The sequence below is a fragment of the Homo sapiens genome, chromosome 6 (assembly GCF_000001405.40).
Source record: "Homo sapiens chromosome 6, GRCh38.p14 Primary Assembly".
Taxonomy (NCBI): Eukaryota; Metazoa; Chordata; class Mammalia; order Primates; family Hominidae; genus Homo; species Homo sapiens.
The window spans coordinates 135,634,713-135,661,853 of NC_000006.12; the positions used below are offsets into that span (position 1 = coordinate 135,634,713).

The 27,141-nt window shown below is 36.5% G+C and overlaps 1 long non-coding RNA gene and 1 pseudogene across 4 annotated transcripts in view; one reads left to right on the forward strand and one right to left on the reverse strand.

Annotated features, from left to right (window-relative positions):
• AHI1-DT (AHI1 divergent transcript) overlaps positions 1–27,141 on the forward strand; it is a 218,255-nt gene that overhangs the window by 136,912 nt on the left and 54,202 nt on the right. For all 4 annotated transcript variants that reach the window (NR_152842.1, NR_152844.1, NR_152845.1 and 1 more), the window contains one exon: positions 7,481–7,564. This is a non-coding gene — a long non-coding RNA (AHI1 divergent transcript). The remainder of the gene's footprint in view (positions 1–7,480; positions 7,565–27,141) is intronic.
• HMGB1P17 (high mobility group box 1 pseudogene 17) lies at positions 1,398–2,001 on the reverse strand (annotated as a pseudogene).

Here is a 27,141-nt window from a genome sequence, read left to right on the forward strand (position 1 = left end):
AGCTTTTGGGTCTTAAAGAATCCTTGACAAAAAATTATTGCTGAACTTCCAGTATATCAGCATGATCAGTAAGTTGCAGACATAATAAACTAAAAATACTATTAATACTCTTTTGGAGATAGAATGATAGTTTTCTATGGATATGTTTATTTTGGCTAATATTATCAGCCCACTCATTTTGTGTGGTTCTCCTCCCACTAAGGATATCAACTTGAATGTAAGTCAATAGTATGAGTAGCGCAAACTTTAGTTTTTCTTTTTTTTTTTAAATTAAAATTTCTTCTGGATTTTTAAAACCTTATCCAATTAGACTTAAAATTCTTATTACAAATGTCTACTATGTAATTAGTATGTAATCTCAACATTTTAGGAGGCTGAGAAAGGAGGATCATTTGAGACCAGGAGTTGAAAACCAGCCTGCTCAACATAGTGAGACCCTGTCTCTACAAATTAAAAAAAAATTAGCCAGATATGGTAGAACTTGCTTGTAGTCCCAACTACTTGGGAGGCTAAGGCAGAGGATCACTTAAGCCTAGGAATTTGGGGCTGCAGTGAGCTATGATTGTGCCACCACACTCCAGCCTGGGTGACAGAGCAAGAGTCCATCTAAAAAAAAAAAAAAAACAAAAAATGACCAAAAACCCCCCCAAACCCATACATTCTACTATAAAAAATGCAAACACGGTATGGTATGTGGTACATGGTGAATGGCAAGAGTGCTTTTTCCCTATTTACAACTAAAGATGACTTGTTAGCTAACCTTTCTTGAAAAAAGAAAGGCAATAAGCTTAGCTTGTCTTTTAAAAATTTAATTCCTTTATTTTCAATAATTCTTAAAACCCATGGGTTAACATAGTAAATTTCTGTTAATAAATAACTGGCTTAAGCCAAAATAATTTTTAAATTGTATTTACTTAGAAGCATTCAAAATGTCAACAACATGGCTGCAACTGTTTTTTTTTTTTTACAATTATAGAGTTGTATTCAGTTATCAAAACAACAATTATTTTGTATAAACTGCATCAGAGACAACTGAAGATGAAAGAACTACCATCTCCACATATAACTAATTTGTGCAGTGCACCAGAAAGAACCTGTTTAAATTTCCATGCCAATTTGCAACCCCCATACTGTGCCAGGTAAGGTTAGTGGCTATTGAAAATACTACCTGGACAGGGCTATCTAAAGACACATTGGATAGTGTGTTAACTATATAAAAAAAGACACTGTACAATTTAAAAACAAATTTTATACAGACTTACATTTCAATTTGTTTCTTTAAAAAGTAGTCAGTTGTGTACAGGGGGGTTAAATGCTTTTAAGACAAGAAAAACACTGCACTAGAACCAACTTATTAACATTGTCATTATCTCCTCCTCCTCCTCCTTCTCCTCTTCCTCCTCCTCCTTCTTCCTTCTTCTTCTCCCTCTTCTTCATCTTCATCTTCTTCATCTTTTTTTCATCTTCCTCCTCTTCCTTCTTGTTCTTACTCCCTTTTTTTTTGGCTACATCAGTCTTTCCTTTAGCTTACTGTGCAGCAATATTCTTTGGGTATTTTTCCTTCAGCCTTGCATCCTTCTTTTTATAAGGCTGCCTGTCATCTGCAGCAGTGTCATTCCATGTCTCTCCCAGTTTCTTTGCAACAATGGATAGGCTGGGATGTTCTCTTTCGATTTTTGGGTGATACTCAGAAAAGAATGAGGCCAAAGGAGGCCTCTTGGGTGCATTGGCATCTTTGAACTTCTTTTTTCTTTCTTCTTTAGGAGGGACATGGGTTTCATTTCTCTTTTGTAACGAGTATTGTCTACCTTTGCCATGTCTTCAAATTTTTCTTTCTTCTTGGCAGACATGGTCTTCCACCTATCTGGGCACTTCTTAGAAAACTCTGAGAAATTGACCGAACATTTGGGTGCTTCTTCTTCTGCTCCTCCCAGCAAGTTTACACAAAGAATGCTGTGAAGATATTTTGCCTCTTGGCTTCTTAGGCTCTCCTTTGCCCAAGTTTAGTTATTTTTCCTCAGCAAGGCACAGAATTATCCAGAATCACCCAGTGCCCATCTGGTTCTCACTTGCCCTGGCATTGTCTTTATGCAGCTCAATGAACTACAACTGAGATTTACTTTTTTAAAGGTAAACTTGATAGATTTAATTAAATAAAATTTGTCAGTTGAATTTAATTAATATTATTTACAACACAAAGATTTGTTGGGAATGCTGAATAGTAAACCTCTTAAAATAATAAGTCAAAGCAGTGGAAATAAAAATACAGCTTAGGACATATATAAAAGTCAAAGTCTTACAGATTGCTTGTTGGAATGTAAAATTGTGTTGTCACTTTGGAAAACAGTTCTGCAATTTCTCAAAAATTAAATATAGGTTTTCATGTGCCCCAACAATTTCACCACTAGGTATATACTCAAGAGAGCAAAAACATACGTTTACACAAAAGAATTGTACATGATGTTTATAGCAGCAGTATTTATAATAGCCAAAAATTACAAATCTAATTGTTTATCAACTAATAAATGAATAAATAAAATGTGATATATCCATAAAAAAAAAAGTCAAAGTCTTTAGTATAAAGCTGTAACAAATCATTTTCTTTGTGAGTGACATGATTAGGCTCAAATATAGACCTAGAAGTTACAAAATTGTTATGCAGATGTGTGTTGGTTTTCCAATCTCTTTTATAGGCCTAAATATTTTTAAAAGTATTATTTGAACCAAAAGGAAAGAATGAAATTTACACATGTAATTTCAAACTTGGTTTTTGCTGCAAAAATACTCAATTCTAGGTCAAATATATGAAGTAAGCATTCAACTACTTCATTTTCAACTATGATCAGACAATTTCTGTCCTTGTTTTTGGTGTTTCTTAAATAAGAAAATGTTGCTCATAAATCAAAAAAGTTGAAAACCACAGCAAAATATTCACTGCTTCACTGTAAATGGCAGGATACTCTGTCTTCACAGAAACCCAGAACTCATATAGGGGCAGAACTCTTATTGTCATTTGTAAGAATAATCAGACTTCATCTCAAAGTTCTTCCTCTTCTCTGAAAATCAAGTTCTCATGTGAGGAGAAAATCTAGAGAAAGCATCCCTCACCAAGTCAGACACTTGGATTGAAGGGAAAAGTACACTCAGTGTTGCTCTGCAGTTCTCTGGATGGTTTTCAATATGCTCATATCCTCCTTCAATTTCAAGCCCAAGCAGCAGTTGAAACATTTCACAATTTCCTTCTGTGACTTGTTTTTTCCTAAAGATTCAATTTCTTTAAATTCAAGAATCCTGTCATTTGAAACAAAAAAAAAGTTTCTGGGCCATACAAAGACTTGTTCATCTGGATAAGGTGATGGAAAATGGCTGCTAAATAGCCTAGTTTCTGCAGCCATTCTTTATCTTGAAACCCTCTAGCAAAATCTGACCTACTAATTTCTTGAAAGTGCTACCTTTCGGTTCAAACACCCTGTTGAGAACTCTTCCTCTGCTAACTCACTGGATGTAGAATAAGGTTTGTTAGGTGGCCTCCAATATTCTCATACCATCTTCAAGCCATCTTCAGTGAACTGGTCTGTGTTTAATAGTAATCATCCTTGTAGCATTACTCAGATTTTTTTTTTTCATTTTGTATTTAAGAGTTTTCAACACCAGTAGCTCTCTGGAAATAAGTCAGTGTCTTGTGATGTCAGTGTGAAGGTGAATTTTCTTGGGGCACCATCAACGCAGATGCCAGTGCCATTCTTGCAAAATAGACTTTCTGTTTTCAGATATAAAGATGAAGAGAAAAAGTATCTTGTCCTTTACTTGTTTTGGGCAACATCCTGCAGTAGAAAAAAAATGTTCTTAAATTTCAACATTATTTATAAATCTTACAAGTGCTACAGCATGATGTTTATTGGTGAAATTTGTTTATTCATCAAAATGGACAAAGAAGCTGTAATTTTTCAATGTATTATAAAAATACCTTCAGCATCATGTGGCATGCCATCAGTATGTCAGCTTATTATGCTGATTGAGAGCGTGACTTTTTCAGTTGCTTGTATGGAATCTCATTCTAGCATTTTCCTAATTATGACCTTACCTGCTATCATTATTAAGTTCTCACCAACTATGCAACTTTTCCTTTTCTAGGCTACACTTTGTGCTTTGGATAACTCCAAAATAACTTGTTTTCAGAGCCTTTTCCTTGAGTGTGACTGTTTTTTAGAACAAAATATTTATTTTGTTTGTTTGAGATTCAAATTATTGTTTAAAATAATCAGTATCTTTATTTGTTAAATGGCTGTAATTTGTAGTTAAATGTCTTTTCAATTTTGCTAGTTATTGCTGCATTTTTAGTTGTTTGGTATTGACTGTGCACAATAGAATAGATCAACTTGGATGTAAAACTCATTGTTAAGTAGCTTTCATTGTAAAGGTGAACTTTCTTTTGGATTCTCTGCACTGGGGGAGTGAATTGACTCAAAAGATTTTATTTCCTTATCCAACCTTATCAAAACTGTCCAGAAGCCTAAGCCTAGAATCTTTCTTTTCTATCTCATACTTCATCTTCAGAAATCATCAACCCAATGTTCAGATATATTTGTGAAACACAAATGCAGATAAAATATAAAACAGAAAGGTACAGCAGGGCACAGTGGCTCACGCCTGTAATCCCAGCACTTTGGGAGGCCAAGGAGGGCGGATCACAAGGTCAGGAAATTGAGACCAGCCTGGCCAACATGGTGAAACCCGTCTCTACTGAAAATACAAAAATTAGCTGGGTGTGGTGGCACACACCTGTAATCCCAGCTACTCCGGAGGCTGAGGCAGGAGAATTGCTTGAACCCGGGAGGGGACATTGCAGTGAGCTGAGATCATGCCATTGCACTCCAGCATGGGCGCCAGGGCCATACTCCACCTCAAAAAAATGAGACAAAACAAAACATAACAACAACAAAAAACAAAACAGAAAGGCACAATACCTGAGAAAATCTCAAGAAATGCAAAACCTACAATACAGTCTATTTTTAACTTACCGAATTCACATTCAGCACTTATTACAACAACAAGCAGCAGGGATCAGATGAGTCTTGGTATGTATAAGTATCTTCTTTAGGGTGAAAAGGTCCCACTGATTGTCTGTTACACCTGTAGAGCTTATTTTTTTCCTTGTCAGTAGGTTGTATATAAAGGGAGGTGGGAAAGGTAACTTGGAGGGAGAAGGTGGACATCATTTTCCTGCCTTCCTCACCTTTGTGCAGCATAACACTCAACAGATATCCAAGGCCTCCCTCACCTGGCATCAATATCTGAGAATGGATGTATCTAAATAAATATTGTCCTATGTACATTAGGACAAAATCTGATGTTTAATATCTCTGCAATCAGTATTTCACATGGAAGCTCTCGAGACATTTAGCAGCCCACTAGGATTCTGTAGAACTTCTGTTGAGAAAACTTGTTGAGACAATCTTACCTACACTCATGGCTTCAGTTATCTAATGCTTTCAAATTTATGTCTCCTGTTGGTTCTGGATTTAAAATTGCTGACTCGCCATCTCCTCTTGAACATTTCATAGGCACATCAAACTCAGAATGCCTAAACTTAAATTCTCAATTGTGTCTCTACTCCCTCCCCAACCATGCAAAAAAGAAAATTGTGAGCCACTTCCAGTGTTGTTCCCCTCAGCAAATGGCACCAATGTCCACTAACTGCACACCCCAGCAACCTGGACATCATTCTTTACTCATTTCCCTTAACTGTACCTCCTATTCCATGTTTAATCAGTCTCTAATTCCTGTTGATTCTGTTTACTAAATGTCACAACATTGAATCTTATTCTATATCCCCACCACTCTGAATCAAACTATTCCCTTTTTTAGGGCTGAATTTCCAGAAGAGTCTCTTAACTGGTCTTTGTTATCTACTATGAAACCAGTCCAAGTCATTCTCTACTTTGTTGCCAAATCTTATCACGTTTCTCCCTGCTTAAAACTTCTCAATAACTACCAGCACATTGCTCTTAAGATGAAGACCAAAATCCTTAATAGGACATACAGTGATGTGCGTGATCATCCCCTGCTAACCTCTTCTCTGCCTTCTCCCTTCCCTTATTGTATTCCATCCATGAAGACTTATCAATCCCCTCTTTTAAGAGGCTCCCTCACGCTGTCCTCCCTCTGTTTATACACCTCCCACTCCTTTCATCTCACTCTTACTCATCCTTCAGATCTGAGTTTAAATGTCATTTCCTCAGAGAAGCAAGAAGTTCCTTAGTACTGTGTATTTCTGCCTAATTTCACTTACCACAATTCTAATTGCACAGTTTGTTGGTTATTATCTATCCCTGAAGCAACTCTGATTGCTCTTGAAAGGCAGGGAGTGCATTTGCTGTGTTTACCACCTATCTCCAGCATTAACACACAATAAAAACAATTGGTGGGACAAATGAGTAAATGAATTATTAAATTCACTAATTTGCTTCTTTCATGCTATTGCTCTCAAGTTTAGGAATAAAATTACTATACTCATTACATAAAAGAAATATGAATTTCTAATTTTAGGGTTTTTTATTAGTTGAACTTTTTACTATAAGCAAAATTGCTTAGCATTTGAAATACCTTTTTAAAAAATGTTGCCTAGTCTACCATCTCATGTATGTTGTAAGTTTTATGTGATTAAATAAGTTTTGATATGCAGCAAAATAACAACATGAAATTGTAAATTATACTAATAGTCTGTGACTTAATTAGCATGAAAAATCTTCCCATTTATTTATAAGACCAAATAAAAATATTAACTTGAGATTAGCACTGCAGCTGTTGAATATTTCAGTGCTATTAAATATTGGAGGACATAATTTAAAAATGTACAAAGATCATACACAGATCGTTTTATAGTTTTATTTTTCTTACTATTATTTAGAAAAAGACATTTTGAAATCAGTGTTTCCCACAAAGAAAAATACTTAAATATGTAATTTTAATACATGCATATGCCAAAATTAATATTTATTTATTTTTGTTTGGATATAAGCCAACATAGACATGAATGTAGCTCTTTTCTCCTGAGATAGAAGAACACACTATTGAAATTCAATCAGAGCATCCAGATGTAAATGAGCTGTTCATCTATAGCCCACAGGATGTTCACTTTGGCTTCAATCCTTCCAGACTGGATCCATACCAAGACTTTCTATTATTACTATTAATTAGCAGTTCTGGCAAAATTAAGGAATATTGTTATGTCAGCTTGAAATCCTTTAGACTGACTAGTGATCTCAAAAAAAGTTAAGACTTGATCGATAATTATTCCAAGCATGATGATTAAAAATTAAATTCCTGATGTGATCCATGATTTTTTTTCCCTCTCTCACTCTATTTTAGAAAAACAGGGTAGGTATTTATTAGAGAGGAATCTAAAATCAGAGGTAGAAAAGGGCATGGATTTTAAGGTCTTCTCTGTCTTCATTTAGTCTTCCCTTTCTTTCCACAGATTATAGATCCAGACTCCTGTGCCTGACCACTGCCCATGGCCAACTCTCTGCTGATGACTGGACTTGACTACACAAGTTGTTGGGTACTTTGACTAGAACACCAACCAAGTCATTGGAAATATAATGCTTTGTTCTTTCTAGCTCCAAGATATGAACATGTGACAACCCAAACAAACAAAATCCCAACAAGGTTGTCAGATATGCAAATTACAGTTGACCCTTGAACAACAGAGAGGGTAGAGGTGCTGATCACTGGCACAGTTGAAAATTCAAAAGTTTTGACTCCCCTAAAACTTAATTACTAATAACCTACTGTTGACTAGAAGCCTACTGATAATATAAACGATTTATTAACACATATTTTATATGTTATATGTATTAGGTACTGTATTATAATAAAGTAAGCTAGAGCAAAGAAAATGTTATGGATAAAATCATAAGAAAGAGAAAAGATATTTACTCTCCATTGAATAGAAATGGCTCATCATAAAGATCTTCATTCTCACCATCTTCAAATTGGGTAGGCTGAAGAGGAGCAATAAGAGAAGGGGTTGGTCTTGCCATCTCAGGTGTGGCAGAGACGGAAAACAATCCACGTATAAATATGGACCCATGTAGTTCAAACCTGTGTTGTTCAAAGGTCAACTGTATTTACTTTAAATTACTTGTCTGACCTGAGATTTTCCTGACCATAATCCAAGAGATTGACACCTTTCTAAAGTTTGTTCTTATGTTTTCCAAAATGACAACTTGTTTTCCAGAAGTTAGCAGCCACCATGTTTTAAGACAGAAACAGCCTGAGGTTCTCCCAAGGTCTATTGAGCATAAGAGTTTTTTGCCTTCTAGTAAAATAAACCCATATTCGCAGAGTGTCTGGACCAGAAAATCTTCCACATTATCCTGTGTTCAAGTATTAGGATTGTGCAATACATTTCTTAGAAGAATTCTGCCTACTACTCATGCAAACACCAAACAGGACAAATACAAAGGCGACCACATCTAGACATGTCATATTCAAACTGCTGAAAACTAACAACAAAAAACAAATCTTAGAAGGAAAAGAAACCTCGCATGGGGAAACAATGATCTAAATGATAGCCAACTTTGCAGGCCAGAAGACAGTGAAATGATACCTTTGCAGTACTGAATGAAAGACAAAGTCAACATAGAATTCTATGTCCAATAAAAATATCCTAAAAAAGAAGGCAAAATAAAAACATTTCTAGTAGGCAAAAGCTGAGAGCACTAGTCTTTGGTAGATTTGTACTACACAAAATGCCATAAGGAGGTTTTCAGGCTGAAGAAAAAAATACCAGTTGCAACCTAAATGAAGCATGAAGAGTACTAGAAACAGCGAAGATTAAAGACTATTTTAACATCTTTATTTTTAATACATATGTACCTATAAATTTTAACTTCTTCAAAAAATTGACTTTTTAAGATATAAATAATAACAATGTATTGAGCTGCAGCATATGTAGAAGTAAAATGTGGGAAAATAACAGCACAAGGACCAGAAGCATAGATACATAGAATTATATATTTACCAGGTTCTTACATTGTTTGTGAAGTAATATAATATTATTTTAATGTAGATTGGGATAACTTAAAGGTATATATCTTTAAGATATCATATATTCTATATATCATATATATCTTTAAGATATCATATATTCTATACTGAGCAATCTATAAAAAACAAAGAAGCATATCTAAAAATTCAATGGATGAGATTAAATTAAATACTAAAAACTACTCTATTAACCCAAAATAAGACAAGAAAAAAGGGATGAAATGAGAGACAAATTTTGCAAATAGAAAATCAATGGTAGGTTATAACCCAATCATATTAATAATTACACTGAATATAAATGAACTAAGCGCTCACCCCAAAAAAAGTGATTGTCAGATAGGAAAAAAGAAAAACCTATCTATATGCTCTTTATAAGAAACATATTTAAGACAGGGTGCAGTGGCTCGCGCCTGTAATCCCAGCACTTTGGGAGGCTGAGGCAGGCAGATCACGAGGTCAGGAGTTTGAGACCAGCCTGGCCAACATAGTGAAACCACATCTCTATGAAAAATACAAAAATTAGCCAGGCATGGTGGTGCACGCCTGTGGTCCCAGCTACTTGGGAGGCTGAGGCAGAAGAATCACTTGAACCCAGGAGGCAGAGGTTGCAGTGAACCAAGATCATGCCACTGCCCTCCAATCTGGGCGACACAGCGAGACTCCATCTTGGGGAAAAAAAAAAAAAAAAGAAATGTATTTAAATAAAGTGACACAGTCAGATCGAAAGCAATAGGTTGGGGAAAAAAAACCATGAAAAAATGAAGTATAAGAAAGCTGGTGTGGTTATATAAATATTAGTCAAAGGAGATGTCAAGACAAAGATTATTACCAGAGATAGAGAACTATATGCATGATGATAAATGGATTGATTCATCAAGAAAACATAACAATCTTAACTGTGCACCTAATGACAGAGCATAAAACAAGAGGTGATAGATAGGACAAAAGGAGAAATAGGCAAATTCTCATTTAGTTAGTGTGATGGTTTGGTTTATATGTCAACTTGGCTAAGCTACAGTGCCCAGTTATTTAATCAAACACCAATTTAGGTGTTGCTTTGAAGATATGTTGTCCATGTGGTGAGATCTACAATCAGTTGACTGAAAGTAAAGGATATTACTTGATGATGTGGGTGTGGGTTCACCTAATCAGTTGAAAACCCTAGAGTAAAACCAGGTTTCCTGGAACAGAAGATATTCTGCCTCAAGATTGAAGCACTGGCTGGGCGCCGTGGCTCACGCCTGTAATCCCAGTACTTTGGGAGGCCGAGGCGGGCTGATCACGAGGTCAGGAGATCGAGACCATCCTGGCTAACATGGTGAAACCCCGTCTCTACTAAAAATACAAAAAAATTAGCCGGGCGTAGTGGCGGGTGCCTGTAGTCCCAGCTACTCGGGAGGCTGAGGCAGGAGAATGGCGTGAACCCCGGGGGGCGGAGCTTGCAGTGAGCCGAGATCGCACCACTGCACTCCAGCCTGGGCGACAGAGCGAGACTCCGTCTCAAAAAGAAAAAAAAAAAGATTGAAGCACTAACACCTACCTGAGTTTCCAGCCTGATGGCCTATCCTATTGATTTCAGACTCGACAGCTCCTAAAATCACATGAGCCAATTCCTTTAAATAATTGTCTTAATACATAGATATGTATATCTTCTATTGTGTCTGTTTCTTTGGAGAACCCTGACTTACATAGTGCTGTTAACATCGCTTTGTCTAAGTAGACAATATAATCAGTAAATATAGAAAAGATTTGAACAGCATTATTAACCAAGTTGATCTAATTAACAAATGCAGATATAAATTATTTCAAGTACTCATGGAACATTCATAAAGATCAACATGTGCTGCATCAAAAAACACATCTCAACAAATATCAAAGATTGAAGTGATACATAGTATATTTTGTGACCACAACAGTATTAAAGTGGAAATTAGTAATAAATGTAAGTAGAAAATCCCCAACATTTAGAAATTCAGCAATATCCTTTTAAATAACCCATGTGTCAAATGAGAAATTATGTTGGGGATTAGAAGATTGTTTGAACTGATTGATAATAGAAAACATTATAAATGGGTGAGATGCGGCTAAAGAAGTGCTTACATGGAAAGTTATAGCTTTACATGCTTATGTTTAAAAAGAAGAAAGGTTTACCATCAATGACCTACTTCTACTTTAAAAACCTAGACTAAAAACTTCTCTGGTTTCCATTGTAACATGTAAGGAGTTTGGAAGTCATTACTGCATCCTAACAACAAACAAAAAGCTGAAAAGGGCCTGGAAAATAAAAACTTGTCTCAGATCTATCAGAGAAGTGAGGTCACAGGGCAAACTACTGTCCTAAAAATTAGAGAGACTGAATACAGAGAATTACAACTTAAAGGAGAAGAAACCCACAAGCAGAAACCTCCACAGGAACCAGTGCTGGGCTATATAAACCTAAACTCTAATTGACAAATTCTTAGAGCCTTAGTGTAGAGAAATCTAAGAGTTAAAACACCATGGGAACCCAGTCATATGGGAACCCACACACCTTCATGAGTTTACCATTCAGAGATTGACCCTATTCTCCCAGTAGATATTGAAGAAAAATCCTCTCATGCTTCTGTCAGGGGAAGGGGGAAAGTAATCATTTAAAAGTATACCAGAGCATGCCATTCTTCTTAACAAGGCCTGTCCTCAGGAGAAACTATTTTTACCAGAGCCTAACCTATTGGAGTTTTTCAGAGCCCAACTGACTGAGGGAAAGGAAATATTCAACTCTACCCCACTCTAGCCATCCTCTTCTACCTAAAAGGGGAGAAAAGTGAGAAGCACATACAAACTTCACAGTCCAGAGGCACAGGCTCACTAAAACATTGAGTGCTCATCACAGTACTAAAGAAATCTACCCTGACCCACACTGTCCCACCACATCACTAAAGGCCTATTTACTGCAATTCCTTTTACCCAGTCCATGTTCACCTTTCAACAAAGAAATTATAAAGCATACTTAGAGGCAAAATGTGCAGTTTGAAAAAAGTAAGCATCAGACCCAGAGTTGGATATAGCAGGATGTTGCAGTTACCAGATTAGGAATTTTAAAAAATTATGATTGATGTGTTAAGGACTCTACTGGACAAAATAGAGAACATGTAAGAATGGATGCATGATGTAAGCAGAGTGATGGAAATTCTAAGACAGAATAAAAAAGAAATACTAAAAAAAGAAATGCTAGAGATAAATAACCCTGTAACAGAAATGAAGAATGACTTTGGTGAGCTCATTAGTGGACTGGAGATAGCCGAGAAAAAAAACTGTGAGCTTGAGGATATGTCAGTAGAAACTTTCAAAACTGAAAAGCAAAGAGTAAAATACCAAAAACAATGAAATGGAATATCTAAGAAATGTGATAAAACTACAAAAGGTGTGAATACATGTAACGGAAATATCAAGAGGAGAAAGAGCAAACAGAAGCAATAATTGAAGCAATAAGGACACAGTTTTCCCCAAATTCCTGACAGATATCAAACCGCAGATCCCGGAAGCAGAGAGAATACCAAGCAGGATAAATGCAAAAAACAAACAAACAAACAAAAAATACCCAAACCAAAAAAAAGCCTATACCTAGGCATATCATATTCAAATTACAGAAATCAAAGACAAATTCTTGAAAGAAGTCATAGGAAAAAAATACCTTATCTTTAGAGAATCAAAAGTAAGAATTACATCCAATTTTCTCCAGGAATGCATGCAAGCATGAAGAGAGTAGAGTAAATTATTTATGGTGTGTATTAGTTCATTTCATGCTGCTGATAAAGACACACCCAAGACTGGGTAATTTATAAAGAAAAATAGGTTTAATTGACTCACATTCTATGTGGCTAGGGAGGCCTCACAGTGATGGTGGGAGGCAAAAGTCATGTCTTACATGCAGCAGAGAAGAGAAAATGAGAGCCAAGTGAAAGGGTTTCCCCTTATAAAACCATCAGATCTTGTGAGACTTACTCACTACCATGAGAACAGTATGGGGAAAACTGTGTCCATGATTCAGTTACCTCCTATAGGGTCCCTCCCATGACACATGGGGAATTATGACAGCTACAATTGAAGATATGAGATTTGGGTGGGGACACAGCCAAATCATATAATTCTGCCCCTGGCTCATCCCAAATCTCATGTTCTCACATTTCAAAACCAATCATGCCTCCTCAATGGTCCCCTAAAGTCTTAACTCATTTCAGCATTAACTCAAAAGTCTCATCTGACACAAGGCAAGTCCCTTCTGCCTATGAGCCTGTAAAATCAAAAGTAAGTTCGTTACTTCCTAGATACAATGAGGGTACAGGCATTAGATAGATACACCCATTCCAAATAGAAGAAATAGGCCAAAATGAAGGGGCCAAAGGCCCCATGCAAGTCTGAAATCCAACAGGACAGTCAAATTTTAAAGCTCCAAAATGATCTCCTTTGACTTCATGTCTCACATCCAGGTCAGACTGATGCAAGATGTGGGTTCCCATGGTCTTTGGAAGCTCTGCCCCCATAGCTCTACAGGGTACAGGCTCCCTCCCAGCTGCTTTCACAGGTTGGTGTTGAGTGTCTGTGGCTTCTCCAGGCACATGGTGCAAGCTGTCAGTGGATCTACCATTCTGGGGTCTGGAGGACAGTGGCCCTCTTCTCACAGCTTCCTTAAGCAGTGCCCCACTGGGGACTCTGTGGGGGCTTCAACCCCACATTTTCCTTCTGCACTTCCCTAGCAGAGGTTCTTCATGAGGGATCATCCCTGCAGGGAACTTCTTCCTGGACATCCAGGAGTTTCCATACATCCTCTAAAATCTAACCGGAGGTTCCCAAACCTCAATTCTTGACTTCTGTGCACCCGCAGGCTCAACACCATGTGGAAGCTGCCAGGGCTTGGGGCTTTCACCCTCTGAAGCCACGACCTGAACCATACCTTGACCCCTTTTAACCACGGCTGGAATGGCTGGGACACAGGGCACCAAGTCCCTAGGATGTACACAGAAGAGGGGCCCTGGGCTCCACCCGCAAAACCATTTTTTCCTCCTAAGACTCTAGACCTATGATGGGAGGGTCTGCTGCAAAGGTCTCTGACATGCCCTGGAGACATTTTCCCTATTGTCTTGGTGATTAACATTTGACTCATTATTACTTATGTGAATTTTTGCAGCTGGCTTGAATTTCTCCTCAGAAAATGGGATTTTCTTTCCTATTGCATTGTCAGTCCTCCAAACTATTCCAACTTCTGTCTGTTACCCAATTCCAAGGTCACTTCTGCATTTTTGGGTATCTTTTCAGGAGCATCCCACTCTACTGGTACCAATTTGCTGTATTAGTCTGTTCTCATGCTGCTGATAAAGACATACCCAAGACTGGGCAATTTATAAAAGAAAGAGGTTTAATGAACTTACAGTTCCATGTGCCTGGGGAAGCCTCACAATCATGGTGGAAGGCAAGGAGGAGCAAGTCACCTCTTACATGGATGGCAGTAGGCAAAAGAGAGAGCTTGTGCAGGGAAACTCCCCTTATAATATGGTCAGATCTTGTGAGACTTATTCACTATTATGGGAACAGCACAGGAAAGACCTGCCCCCATTATTCAATTACCTCCCACCATATCCCTCCCACAACATATGGAATTCAAGATGAGATTTGGGTTGAGACACAGCCAAACTATATCAGTGCATTAAGGATTGTCATGTCTTTATGGGGTATTGACCCTTTTATCATTTTGTTATGTCCCTCTTTATCCCTGATAACTTTCCTTGTTCCGAAATTTGCTTTGTATGGAATTACATAGCTACTCCTGCTTTCTTTTGATTGGTGTTAGCATAATTATCTTCACTCGTTTTCTTTTAATCTATATGTGTCTTTATATTTAAGATGAGTTTTTTGTAGACAACAATAGTTTGGCCTTCTTTTTTGATCCACTTTGATATATATATTTTAATCAGTGTATTTAGACCATTGAGTTTTAAAATGATTGTCAATGGATCTGGACTCATATCTACCATATTTGTTAATGTTTTCTATTCATTTACCTTGTTCTTATTTTGTCTTCTTTTCTGTTTCTGCCTTTTGTGGTTTTAAGTGAGCATTTTATATGATTTCATTTTCTCTCCTTTCTTAGCATAACACTTGTACTTCTTTTTGTACTTTTTAAAGTGATTCTCTTAGTTTGTAATATACATTTACAACTAATCCAAGTCCAATTTCAAATAACACTTTACCACTTCATATTATTACCAGTACTTTGTAATAAAATATTCCAAACTTCTCTCTCCCATACCTTATATTATTGTTGTCATTTATTTTACTTATACATAAGCATACATAAGTATCATAAGCTTAAATATATCTATATCTATACATATGTACCCACATAAGCATACATAATAAAATATATAGATTTTTTAAGCAAACTACTATGTTAGATCAATTAAGAATAAGAAAAAATAAAAGTTTGCATTTTACTTCCACTTATTTCTTCTTGATGCTGTTTTTCTCTTTTCATAGATGAGAGTTTCTGAACTATATCATCTTCTTCTCTCTGAAGAACTTCTCTTAATGTTTTTGCAAGGCACTCCTAGCAACAAATGCACTCCATTTTTGTTTGCTGAGAAAGTCTTGATTTCTCTTTCACATTTTCTTTTCTTTTAATTCTTCACTTTTGAAAGATAATTTCACAAGGTACAGAATTATAGGTGGTGGTGGGGTTTCTCTTAACATCATGATATGATTTGGTTGTGTCCCCACCCAAATCTTATCTTGAATTGTAGCTCCATGAGCGGGGCTCTCATGAAGAATCTATGCTAGGGCAGTGAGGAAGGGAAATGTGGGGTTGAAGCCCCCACACAGAGTTCCTCCTGGGGCACCACCTAGTGTAGCTGTGAGAAGAGGGCCACCGTCCAGACCCCAGAATGGTAGATCCACCAACGGCTTGCACCATGTGTCTGGAAAAGCCACAGACATTCAACACCAGACCATGAAAGCAGCTGGGAGGGAGGCTGTACCCTGCAAAGCCACAGGGGCAGAGCTGCCCAAGACCATGGGAACCCACCTCTTGCATCAATGTGACCTAGATATGAGCCATGGAGTCAAAGGAGATCATTTTGGAGCTCTAAGATTTGACCACCCCGCTGGATTTTGGACCTGCATGGGGCCTGTAGCCCCTTTGTTTTAGCCCATTTCTCCCATTTGGAATGGCTGTATTTACCCAATGCTTATACCTCCATTGTATCTAAAAAGTAACTAACATGCTTTTGATTTTACAGGCTCATAGGCAGAAGGGACTTGCCTTGTCTCAGATGAGACATTGCACTGTGGACTTCTGAGTTAATACTGAAGTGAGTTAAGACTTTGGGGGACTGTTGGGAAGGCATTACTGGTTTTCAAATGTGAGGACATGAGATTTGGGAGGGGCCAAGGGTGGAATGATATGGTTTGGCTCTGTGTCGCCACCCAAATCTCATCTTGAATTCCCACATGTTGTGAGAGGGACCCAGTGGGAGGTAATTGAATCATGGGGGCAGGTCTTCCCCATGCTGTTCTCGTGATAGTGAATAAGTCTCACAAGATCTGATGATATTATAAGGGGAGTTTCCCTGCACAAGCTTTCTCTTTTTGCCTGCTGCCATCCATGTAAGATGTGACTTGCTCCTCCTTGCCTTCTACCATGATTGTGAGGCTTCCTCAGCCGTGTGGAACTGTAAGTCCATTAAACCTCTTTCTTCTGTAAATTGCCCAGTCTCAGGTCTGTCTTTATCAGTAGTGTTAGAGCAGTCTAATACGTGCACATAAAAACAGAGTGTCAAAATATGTAAGCAAAAACTGATACAAGTGCAAGGAGAAATAGTTAAATCCAGTATTATTATTGGAGATTTTAACACACCCCTCTATTAGAAATGGACAGGTCCAGTAGGCAAGAAGATCAGTAACAACAGAGTTGAACTCAACAACACCATCAATCAACTGGTTATAATGGATATCTATTGACTACTTCATCTAACAACAGCAGAATACACATTCTTCCAAGCTTACATGGAACATTCACCAGTATAGAACATATTCTGGGCCAAAAAACACATACCTTAACAAATTTGAAGGAATAGGAATCATACAATCAATGTCTTCTCTCAGACTGCAATAAAATTAAACTAGAAATCAAAAACAGGTAGTTGGAAAATCCCCACATACTTAGAGATTAAACAACATACTTCTAAGTAACACATAGGTCAAAGAAGAAATCTCAAGATAAAATTTTAAATACTTTGAACTAAATGAAAATGAAAACACAACTTATGAAAACTTGTGGGATGCAGCAAACATCTCACAAGTTTTTAAAATGCGTAAAGGGAAATATACACAGTAGTACTTCCTCATTTGCAGTTTTACTTTTTGTGGTTTCAGTTATCTGTGGTCAACTACAGTCTGAAAATATTAAGTGAAAAATTCCAAAAATAAACAATTCTTAAGTTTTAAATTGAATACTGTTCTGAGTAGCATGATAAAATCTCTTGCCTTCCCACTTCATCCCCTATGAGATGTAAATCCTCCTTTGTTCACCTTATATACATTCACTACCTGGCCATTAGTCATTTAGTAGCAGTCTTTTTTTTTTTTGAGACAGGGTCTCACTCTGTCACACAGGCTGGAGTGCAGTGGCACTGTCTTGGCTTACTGCAACCTCTACCTCCTGTGTTCAAGTAATTCTCCTGCCTCAGCTCTGCCCCCCTCCCCCCAGCCCCCCACCGTCCCTGAGTAGCTGGGATTACAGGCAGGCCACCATGCCTGGCTAACTTTCGTATTTTTTGGCAGAGGCGGGGTTTCACCATGTGAGCCAGGCTGGTCTCGAATTTCTGGCCTCAAGTGATCTGCCTACCTCAGCCTCCTGGAGTGTTGGGAATACAGGCGTGAGCAGTCTTGGTTATTAGATTGACTATTGTGATATGACCGTGCTTGTGTTCAAGTAACCCTTATTTTACTTAATGGCTCCAAAGCACAAAAGTAGAAATGCTGGCAATTCAGATATGAAGGAAGCCATAAAGTACTTCCTTTAAGTGAAAAGGTGAACATTCTTGACTTAATAAGAAAAGAAAAAAATTATATGCTGAACTTGCTAACATCTACGGTAAAAATGAATCTTCTATCCACGATATTGTGAAGAAGGATAAAAAAATTCATGCTAGTTTTGTTGTCACACCTCATGCTGCAAAAGTATGGCCACTGTAAGTGCCTAGTTAAGATGAAAAAAGCGTTACATTTTGTGGCTGGAAGACAGAAATAGAAACATATTCTGATTTACAGCATTTAGGCTGGGTACTATCCAAGGTTTCAGGCATCCACTGGAAGTCTTGGAACATAGCGCCTGTGGATAAGGGGAAACTACTGTAGTATTGAATGCATATATTAGGAAAGCAGAAAGATCTAAAATCAATCATGCAAGCTTTTACCATAGAAAACTAGAGAAAGGGCAAATTAATCCAAAGTAAGCACAAGAAACAATAAATATTAGAGTAGAAATTAAAGAAATTGAAATAGGAAATCAATAGGGAAAATTTTTGAAACCAAAAGCTGGGTCTTTGAAAAGATAACAAAACTGATAAGCTTCTAGCCAGGCTAGGAAAAAGAAGGGCACAAATTACTACTTTTGGAAGGAGGAGATTTCACTTCAGAGCCCATGGACATTGGAAGGATAATAAAGGAATACTATGAATAATTCTGTGCCCACAAATTTGATAACCTAGGGGAAATAGATGAATTTCTTGAAAAATAAAATCTGATAAAACTCACACAAGAAGAAATAGACAATCCAGATAGGCCTAGATCTATTAAAGGAATGGAATTAATAATTAATAACCTTCCAAAACAGAAACCATGAGACCCTGATCAGTTCACTAGTAAATTCTACCAAATACTTAAGGAACAAATTATATCAATTCTCTACAGTCTTTTCTAAAATATAGAGGCATATGGAATATTTACTAACTCATTCTATGAGGCCAGCTTCACCATAATGTCAAAATCAGACAAAAACATTATGAGAAAAGATCAATATTTCTTATGAATATAGACACAAAAGTCCTCAACAAAATATTAGCAGACTGAATCAAGCAATGTATAAAAATAATTATATTCCATGACTAAGTGGGATTTATCCCAGGTATGCAAGGTTGGCTCAAATTTGAAAATCAATTACTGCAATCCATCACATCTACAGACTAAGGAAGAAAAATGACATGGTTATATCAAGAGATGCAGAAAAAGCATTTGTCAAAATACAACACCTATTTGTAATAAAAACTCAGCTAGAATTTTAGAGGGGAACTCCCTCATCCTGATAAAGAACATCTACAAAACCCCTACAACTAACATAAGACTTAATGGCAAGAAACTAAAAGCTTTTCTACTCAGATCAGGAACAAGACAAGGATGTTCCTTCTCACCACTTCTTACATTTTACTGGAAATCCTAGCTAACACAATAAGACATGAAAAGGAAATAAAAGATATATTGATCGAGAAGAAATAAATAAAACAGTCTTTGTTCATGGATAATATGATTGTCGAGGTAAAAAATCTGAAGAAATCAACAAAACAATTCCTGGAACTGATATGTGATTATAGCAAGATTGCAGGATACAAGGTTAATGTACAAAATTTAATGTCTTTTCCATATGCCAGAAATGAAAAAGTGGAATTTGAAATTAAAGACAAAAATCCTTTCAGATTAGTGCATCCCCAAAATGAAATAGTTAAGTACACATCCAACAAAATATGTACAAGATCTATATGAAAAAAAACTACATAACTCTGATGGAAAAAAAAATCAAGGAACTAAATAAATGGAGAGAAGGCCAGGTGTGATGTCTCACATCTGTAATCCCAGCACTTTGGGAGGCTGAGGCAGGTGCATCACATGATGTCAGGAGTTCAAGGCCAACATGACCAACATGGCGAAACCCCGTCTCTACTGAAAATACAAAAATTAGCTGGGCATGGTGGTGTGCACCTGTAATCCAAGCTACTCGGGAGGCTGAGACACGAGAATAGCTTGAACCCGGGAGGTGGAGGTTGCAGTGAGTCGAGATCGCACCATTGCACTCCAGCCTGGGTGACAGAGCGAGACTCCATCAAAAAAAAAAAAAAAAGAGATAAATTAAGAGATATTTCATGTCCATGCAAGGAAGAGTCAATATTGTTAAGATGTCATTTCCTCCCACATTGATCTACAGATTCAATGAAATTCCAATTAAAATCCTGACAAGTTATTTTGCAGGTATCAACAAACAGATTCCAAAGTTTCTGTGGAGAGGCAAATAACCTGAAATAGACAACAAAATATTGAGTGAAGTTGGAGTACTGACATTATTCAACTAGGTTACAAATGAAATGGGAAAACAGTTTCATAGTTGGCTTTGTTCTATAGTTTACATTAGGGTTAACTCTAAGTGTTGTACATTCTGTGGGTTTTGGAAAATGCATAATATGCTGTTTTGGTGAAACCAAAAGCAGTAAGTGAGCAATATATGCCTTAGCAATCTATCTTTATTAATTCACATATTTAGAGCTGACTTATTCATATAAAGCTTTGCTTCTTATAAGAAATAACTGGCTTTCTCTTTAAAATAAGCTGAAGCTGTGTGAGATTGTATAAAACATTATATATTGACTAATAGGGAAAAACTTTCTTGTGTATACAGGATTTTGTAATTAAGGTTGAAAATGTAATCTTTAAACCTGAAAGGCTTAAAAAAATTTTTAGCCCCCACATGTAAAGTGAAAATGTGATGTTTGTCTTTCTGTGCCTGCTTTATTTCATTCAGCATGAGTTCCATCATGCTCATTCATGCTGCCTCAAATGACAAGATTTTATTATTTTTATGCCTAAATATTATTCAATTGTGTATATATACCACATTTTCTTTATCCATTCATCCTTTGATAGACAGTTAGGATGATTTTATATCTTGGCTATTGTGAATAGTGCTCCAATAAACATGAGAGTGCAAATATTTCTTTGACATACTGATTTCATTTCCTTTGGACACATACCCAGTAGTGGGGTTGCTTGATCATATGGTATTTCTATTTGGAGTTTTTTGAGGAAACATCACACTGTTTTTTATAATGGCTGTACTAATTTGCATTCTTATCAACAGTGTAAGAGTTCCCTTTTCTTTGCATCCCACTTGCGTTTGTTATTATTTGTCTTTTTCATATGAATAATAGCCATTTTAACTGGGGTGAGATAATATCTTATTGTGGTTTTGATAGGCATTTTCCTTATGATTAGTGATGTTGATCGTTTTTTATTATACCTGTTGGCCATTTGTATGTCTTCTTTTGAGAAATGTTCATCCAGGTCCTTTGCCCACTTTTTGATCAGGTCATTTGTTTTCTTGCTACTGAGTTGAGTTCCTTAAATATTTTAGATATCAACCCCATATCAGACATATAGTTTGATAATATTTTCTCCCATTCTATAGATTGTCTCTTTATTCTGTTGATTGTTTCCTTCTCCGTGCAGAAAATTTTTAGTTTGGTATAATCCCGTTTGTCTATTTTTGCTTCTGTTGCCTGTGCTTTTGAGGTCTTACCCAAGAAATGCTTGCCCAGACCAATGTCCTGAAGCCTTTCCCCAGTGTTTTTTCTAGTAGTTTCACAGCTTCAGGTCTTACATTTAAGTCTTTAATCCATTTTGATTTTATTTTTATATATTATGAGAGAAAGAAATCTGATTTCAAATTTCTGATTTCTTTTGCATTTAGATATCTAGTTTTACAGCACCATTTATTGATGAGACTGTTCTTTCCCTTATATATTCTTGGTGCCTTTGTTAAACATGATTTGGTTGTACATGTCTGGATTTACTTCTGAGTTCTCTATTCTTTTTCATTGGTCTATGTGTCTGTTTTTGTGTCAGTACCATGCTGTTTTGGTTACTATAGCTTTGTAGTATATTTTGAAGTCATAAAGCCTATGCAACTATTATCAATCTGGGCACATGGATGGCATTCAATATACATTTTTTCTTTCTTAAGAGTCATTCAATCATCAAAATTTGGGAAGTTTTTGGTAAATATAGGACTTTAACTTTTGTGAAAGTTAAAAAAGCAAAAGAAGATCTTCCCCCAAATAAGAAAGGATCTAGTGTTGGAGAGAACAGAAACACAGCTGAAAATATTCATGAAAAGATGTGGAACGTAAGCTCAGGGTCAACCAAGGATATTAATCAGACTATTAAATGTATTCTCTTCTAATTAGATCTGAAGTGTGTTTACCCTGCTTAAAAAAGTGGACCAGCTGATAAGTACCAAACAATTCTGGAGCGATATAAAGAGAGGCATCACCCAAAGAAGGTCATGAGTTCACTGGAAAAATGAAGTAACACTGTTGTCATGAGTGGCCACAGTAATAGCCAGAAGAGATTGAATGTGCCTTAAGTTTAAGGATAAAAATGTAATTGTGATGGGAGGTTGGAGAGGAAGCTAGGCCTGTAGCCAAAGTATGGAAAAAAAAAAAAAAGGAAATACAGACAAAGGTAGCAATAGAGTTGGGTGATTTAGGAAGCTAGGTCTGTGAACAAAGGGAATGTACCAGGTTCCTCCCTTCATGCGGTGCCCAGGGAACACTTTCCAGGGCTCAAGTGCCCTCTAAAGGCATCACTCTGCCAGGTTGGACTCAGAGCCAAATGTAATTGTGCTGCTCTCTTCCATTCAAGTAGGTGCCTTTGTTTAACATAAGTGACCACTTTTAAAGAGCTCAGTCTTCTTGGTTCCACTCTTGAACTTTCAGTGTTATCAACAAAAACCTGTTTTGTTTTCGCATTTTCCCCTCAGTGCCTTAGCATGGTGTCCCAAACACTTCTTGATGATTTTTAATACTTGGATTATACACATAATGCCCTTCTCAATCTCCCTTTTACTTCCCCTCAAATAAAATAAAAAATTTAAGATACTGCATTCCTGAGTCCAAGGATTGTTACAGTTGTCACCCCCAAAATTAGGACAATAATCACACAAATTACAATTCTTCTATTCAGAACATAAATCTGATATTCTTGAGCTCATTTGATAAATATTAAGTATCCTCATATGGTTTCTGGTTTACATACATTTGCCATGTATAATATCCATAAGCCATTCTGGGTGTGTGTCCCTATTTTATAATCTCTAGTTGGGAGGGAGAGCACCAAGCCTTTAAATTACGATCTCATGCAGAATAACAGCTCAGGGTCAACCAAGGATAATGATCAGACCATTAAATATGTTCTCTACTGTTCGGATCTGAAGTGTGTTGACCCTCTTAAAATAGTGGACCAGATGATAAGTACCAAACACTTCTGGAGGGATATAAAGAGAGGCATCACCCAAAGAAGGTCATGAGTTCACTAGAAAAATGAAGTAAAACTTATTCATTTCATGTCAGCTGCTAAAGGATGTGCTGCAGGGTGTAGGGTGTGGCTTAACTGATTACCCATTACGGTGATCCTAATAGTTTTCATCAATGAGAATATTGTCACCGAATCTTAGCATTTTTGAAATGAAATGTTGTGGCTCTATTATGTAGTTCTTTTTGCCAGTCTCTGAAATCAGTTTTTTAAATAACTTACCTCTAAACTCTCGCTCTGCATTTCCTTTTGTTTCCTGGATGTGAATGTGGATTCATTGGTAGATGTTAGGCAAAGGCTAACTTATCAGTCATTTCTAGGCTCTTCAAGGTGAAGCAATGCCCACAGACAGTCTTAGAAGGGAATTCTGTTCTCTCCTTTCCTTATTTATTCAAAGACTTTCAGATTGTATTTCACTATTACTAGAGAATTCTTTAGTAAAGCTGGATGGATTCTTCAATGCATTGGGAACATTCATTCATGGAAATTGGCTCTATTGCAGTGTTTCTCAGACTTGTGTATGCATACGAGTCCCCTGGGGATCTTGTGAACATGCAGGTTCTATCCTGTAGGTCATTTAATTTCACTGAATTTGTGCAATGCAAAAAGTCCCTTTCTGAACCTGAATCCACAGATACCAGCATAACCTGGAGCCTGTTAGAAAGGCAGACTTTCGGATCCTACTCCAGATCCATAGAATCAGAATCTGCGTTTTAACAAGATTCCAGAGGGAATTCATTTGTACAAAATTTGGGAAACATCATCCTGAAAATCACGTAGGATCAGCTATGTAATGGCAAAAGCAAAAGCAAACTTATGGTACCTTCTCTTTTTTATGTTATTCTCTGATTATTCCCTGAGGATGCAGCTGCATATAATACGGAATCATTCATGTAAAGAGAAGCAACCTGTCCAAAATACCTTCCTTTTTGTATTGAATCTTGAAACAGTGATGTCATTTCCTATAATATACCACATACTAACAGTTGCAAATTGGTATCTGAGGGCTGTGTCTAGACAGAAGATATGTTTTGTTGGTTATTTTGTTTGTCCTGTGGATGATTAAAAGGCAATGTTATTGGGCAGGTGTGAGCAGTTAGCAGCTATTTTTTCACATGGAGAAGATAATACAGAGGTGTTATGCATAGTATCTATAGGCATTTGAGTCTGGAATCCTTAAGAGTAATAATTCCCAACATAAATTCCATGGAACAGTAATGTAAGAATGATTAACAGGTATTATTTGAAAAAATAAAAAAAGTTTCTGTGATGCGTTGGCATGATAAACAGTGAAACAAAAGAAATTTGGGGGGAGGATATTACAGAGGCTTTATATCATAATATGCAGTTTGAACCTCCACTGCAACATTTCTCAAGCTTATTTACTCAGGAAATTCTGTGTCTCAAATGATTAGAGTTCTATAGAACATACTTTAGAACAGGAGTCAGCAAACTATAGCCTGCAGACTAAATCCAACCTGCCACCTGTTTTTGTACTGCCTACAAGCTAAGAACAGTCTTTATGTATTTACATGTTTAAAACCAAAAGAAGAAGAATATTTCATTACACATGAGAATTCTGTAAAATCCAAATATCGGTGCTTATAAGTCAAGTTTTTTTGGAACACAATCACACTCCTTGGTTTACATTTTGCCTTTGGCAGCGATCATACTATAAGGGCAGAGTTGGCAGCTGAGACAGTGATCACATGGCCTGTAAAGCTGAAAATATCTATTATCTGACCCTTTAAAAAAAAGTTTGCCAACACCTACTTTAGAGCACACTGCGATTCGATTACCGCAACTTTTTTTTTTTTTTTTTGAGACAGAGTTTCCGCTCTTGTTGCCCAGGTTGGAGTGCAATGGCACGATCTCAGCTCACTGAAACCTCCACCTCCCAGGTTCAAGCGATTCTCCTGCCTCAGCCTCCTGAGTAGCTGGAATTACAGGCACCCGCCACCACACCCTGCTTATTTTTGTATTTTCAGTAGAGACGGGATTTCACCACGTTGGCCAGGCTGGTCTCGAACTCATGACCTCAGGTAATCCACCTGCCTCAGCCTCCTAAAGTGCTGAGATTACAGGCGTGAGCCACCGTGCCTGGCCTGCAATTACTTTTGCACCAACCAAATAAAAAGGCCTGGCTTCCTCAAATGGGAAATGATAATGATAACATAGTGTCTTTTTTGATGAGTATAAGTGTACTAACGATAACATTGTGTAGCAAATAAATATTTTCTCTTGTAGACACTTTGAAATCAATGTAAAATCATATCAAATATTCATTTTACTACATTATAATAAGAATTCCTTTCTGGGGATTACCACTGTTTTCAGACTTTTAAGAAATAGAGTTTAGATTTGATAACAAATTTTTGCAATTTTCAGTTATTACAACATGTGCCTAAGTATATTTTAAGCTGATTAATCTTTTCAAACTTTTTAGTCTCAGGAGCCCTTTACACTCTTAAAAATTATTAAGGGCCTCAAAGAAATTTTATTTTTATAGGTTATATCTATCAATATTTCAGAAATTAAAATTGAGAGAATTTAAAAAAGTATTACGCATTTTAAAATAATAATAAACCATTTTATATAAATATCAATAACATATCTCTTGTGAAAATAACTATATTTTTCAAAGAGTGGCATTTTTGAAAAAATCTCATTAACATCTAGTTTGATAGGAGATAGCTAAATTCTCATATTACTTCTTTATTTAACTGTTGTGCTATTACACCTCATTAGGCCCCTGGAAAACTCCACTCATTCTTTGTGAAAGAATAAAAGTGATCTCAAAAAATTTTTTAAAAATAAATCGCATCAAGTATCTTATCTGACCACAATGAAAAAAACCTAGAAATAAATAATAAGAGGACCATGGGACATTTGGAACTGTGCAAATACATGTAAATGAAACAAAAAGCACCTGTCCAACCAATGAGTGAAGGAAGAAATTAAGAAGGAAATGTAAACATTCCTTGAAACAAACGAAAATAGAAACACAACATACCAAAACCTATGGGGCACAGCAAACATAGTATTAAGAGGCAAGTTTATAGCAATAAATTTTTACATAAAAAAGAAAGATTTCAAGTAAACAACCTAATGATATACCTCAAGGAATTAGAAAAGCAAGAACAAACTAAATTCAAAATTAGCAGAAAAAAAGAAATAATGAAGTTCAGAGCATAAATAAAATCGAGACTAACCAAATAGAAAAAAACTCAGTGAAACAAAAAGTTGCTTTATGAAAAGATAAACAAAATTGACAAACTATTAGCTAGACTAAGAAAAGAGAGAAGACCCAAATAAATAAATGAAATCAGATCTGAAAAAAATGACATCACAACTGATGCCACAGAAATACAAACGATCATTAGAAACTATTATGAATAACTATATACCACTAAATTTGAAAAGAGGGAGAAAATGAATAAATTTCTGGACACATACAACCTACCAAGATTGAACCAAGAAGACAGAGAAAACTTAAACTTACCCATAATGGGTAACAAGATTGAATCCATAATAAAAAGTCTCCCAATAAAGACACGCCCAGAACCAGAGAGCTTCAATGCTGTCTACCAAACTTTTAAAGAACAAATACCAATTGTTCTCAAACTATTCCAAAAATTTGAAGTGGAGAGAATTCTTCCAAACTCATTCTATGAGGTCAGCATAACCATGATACCAAAA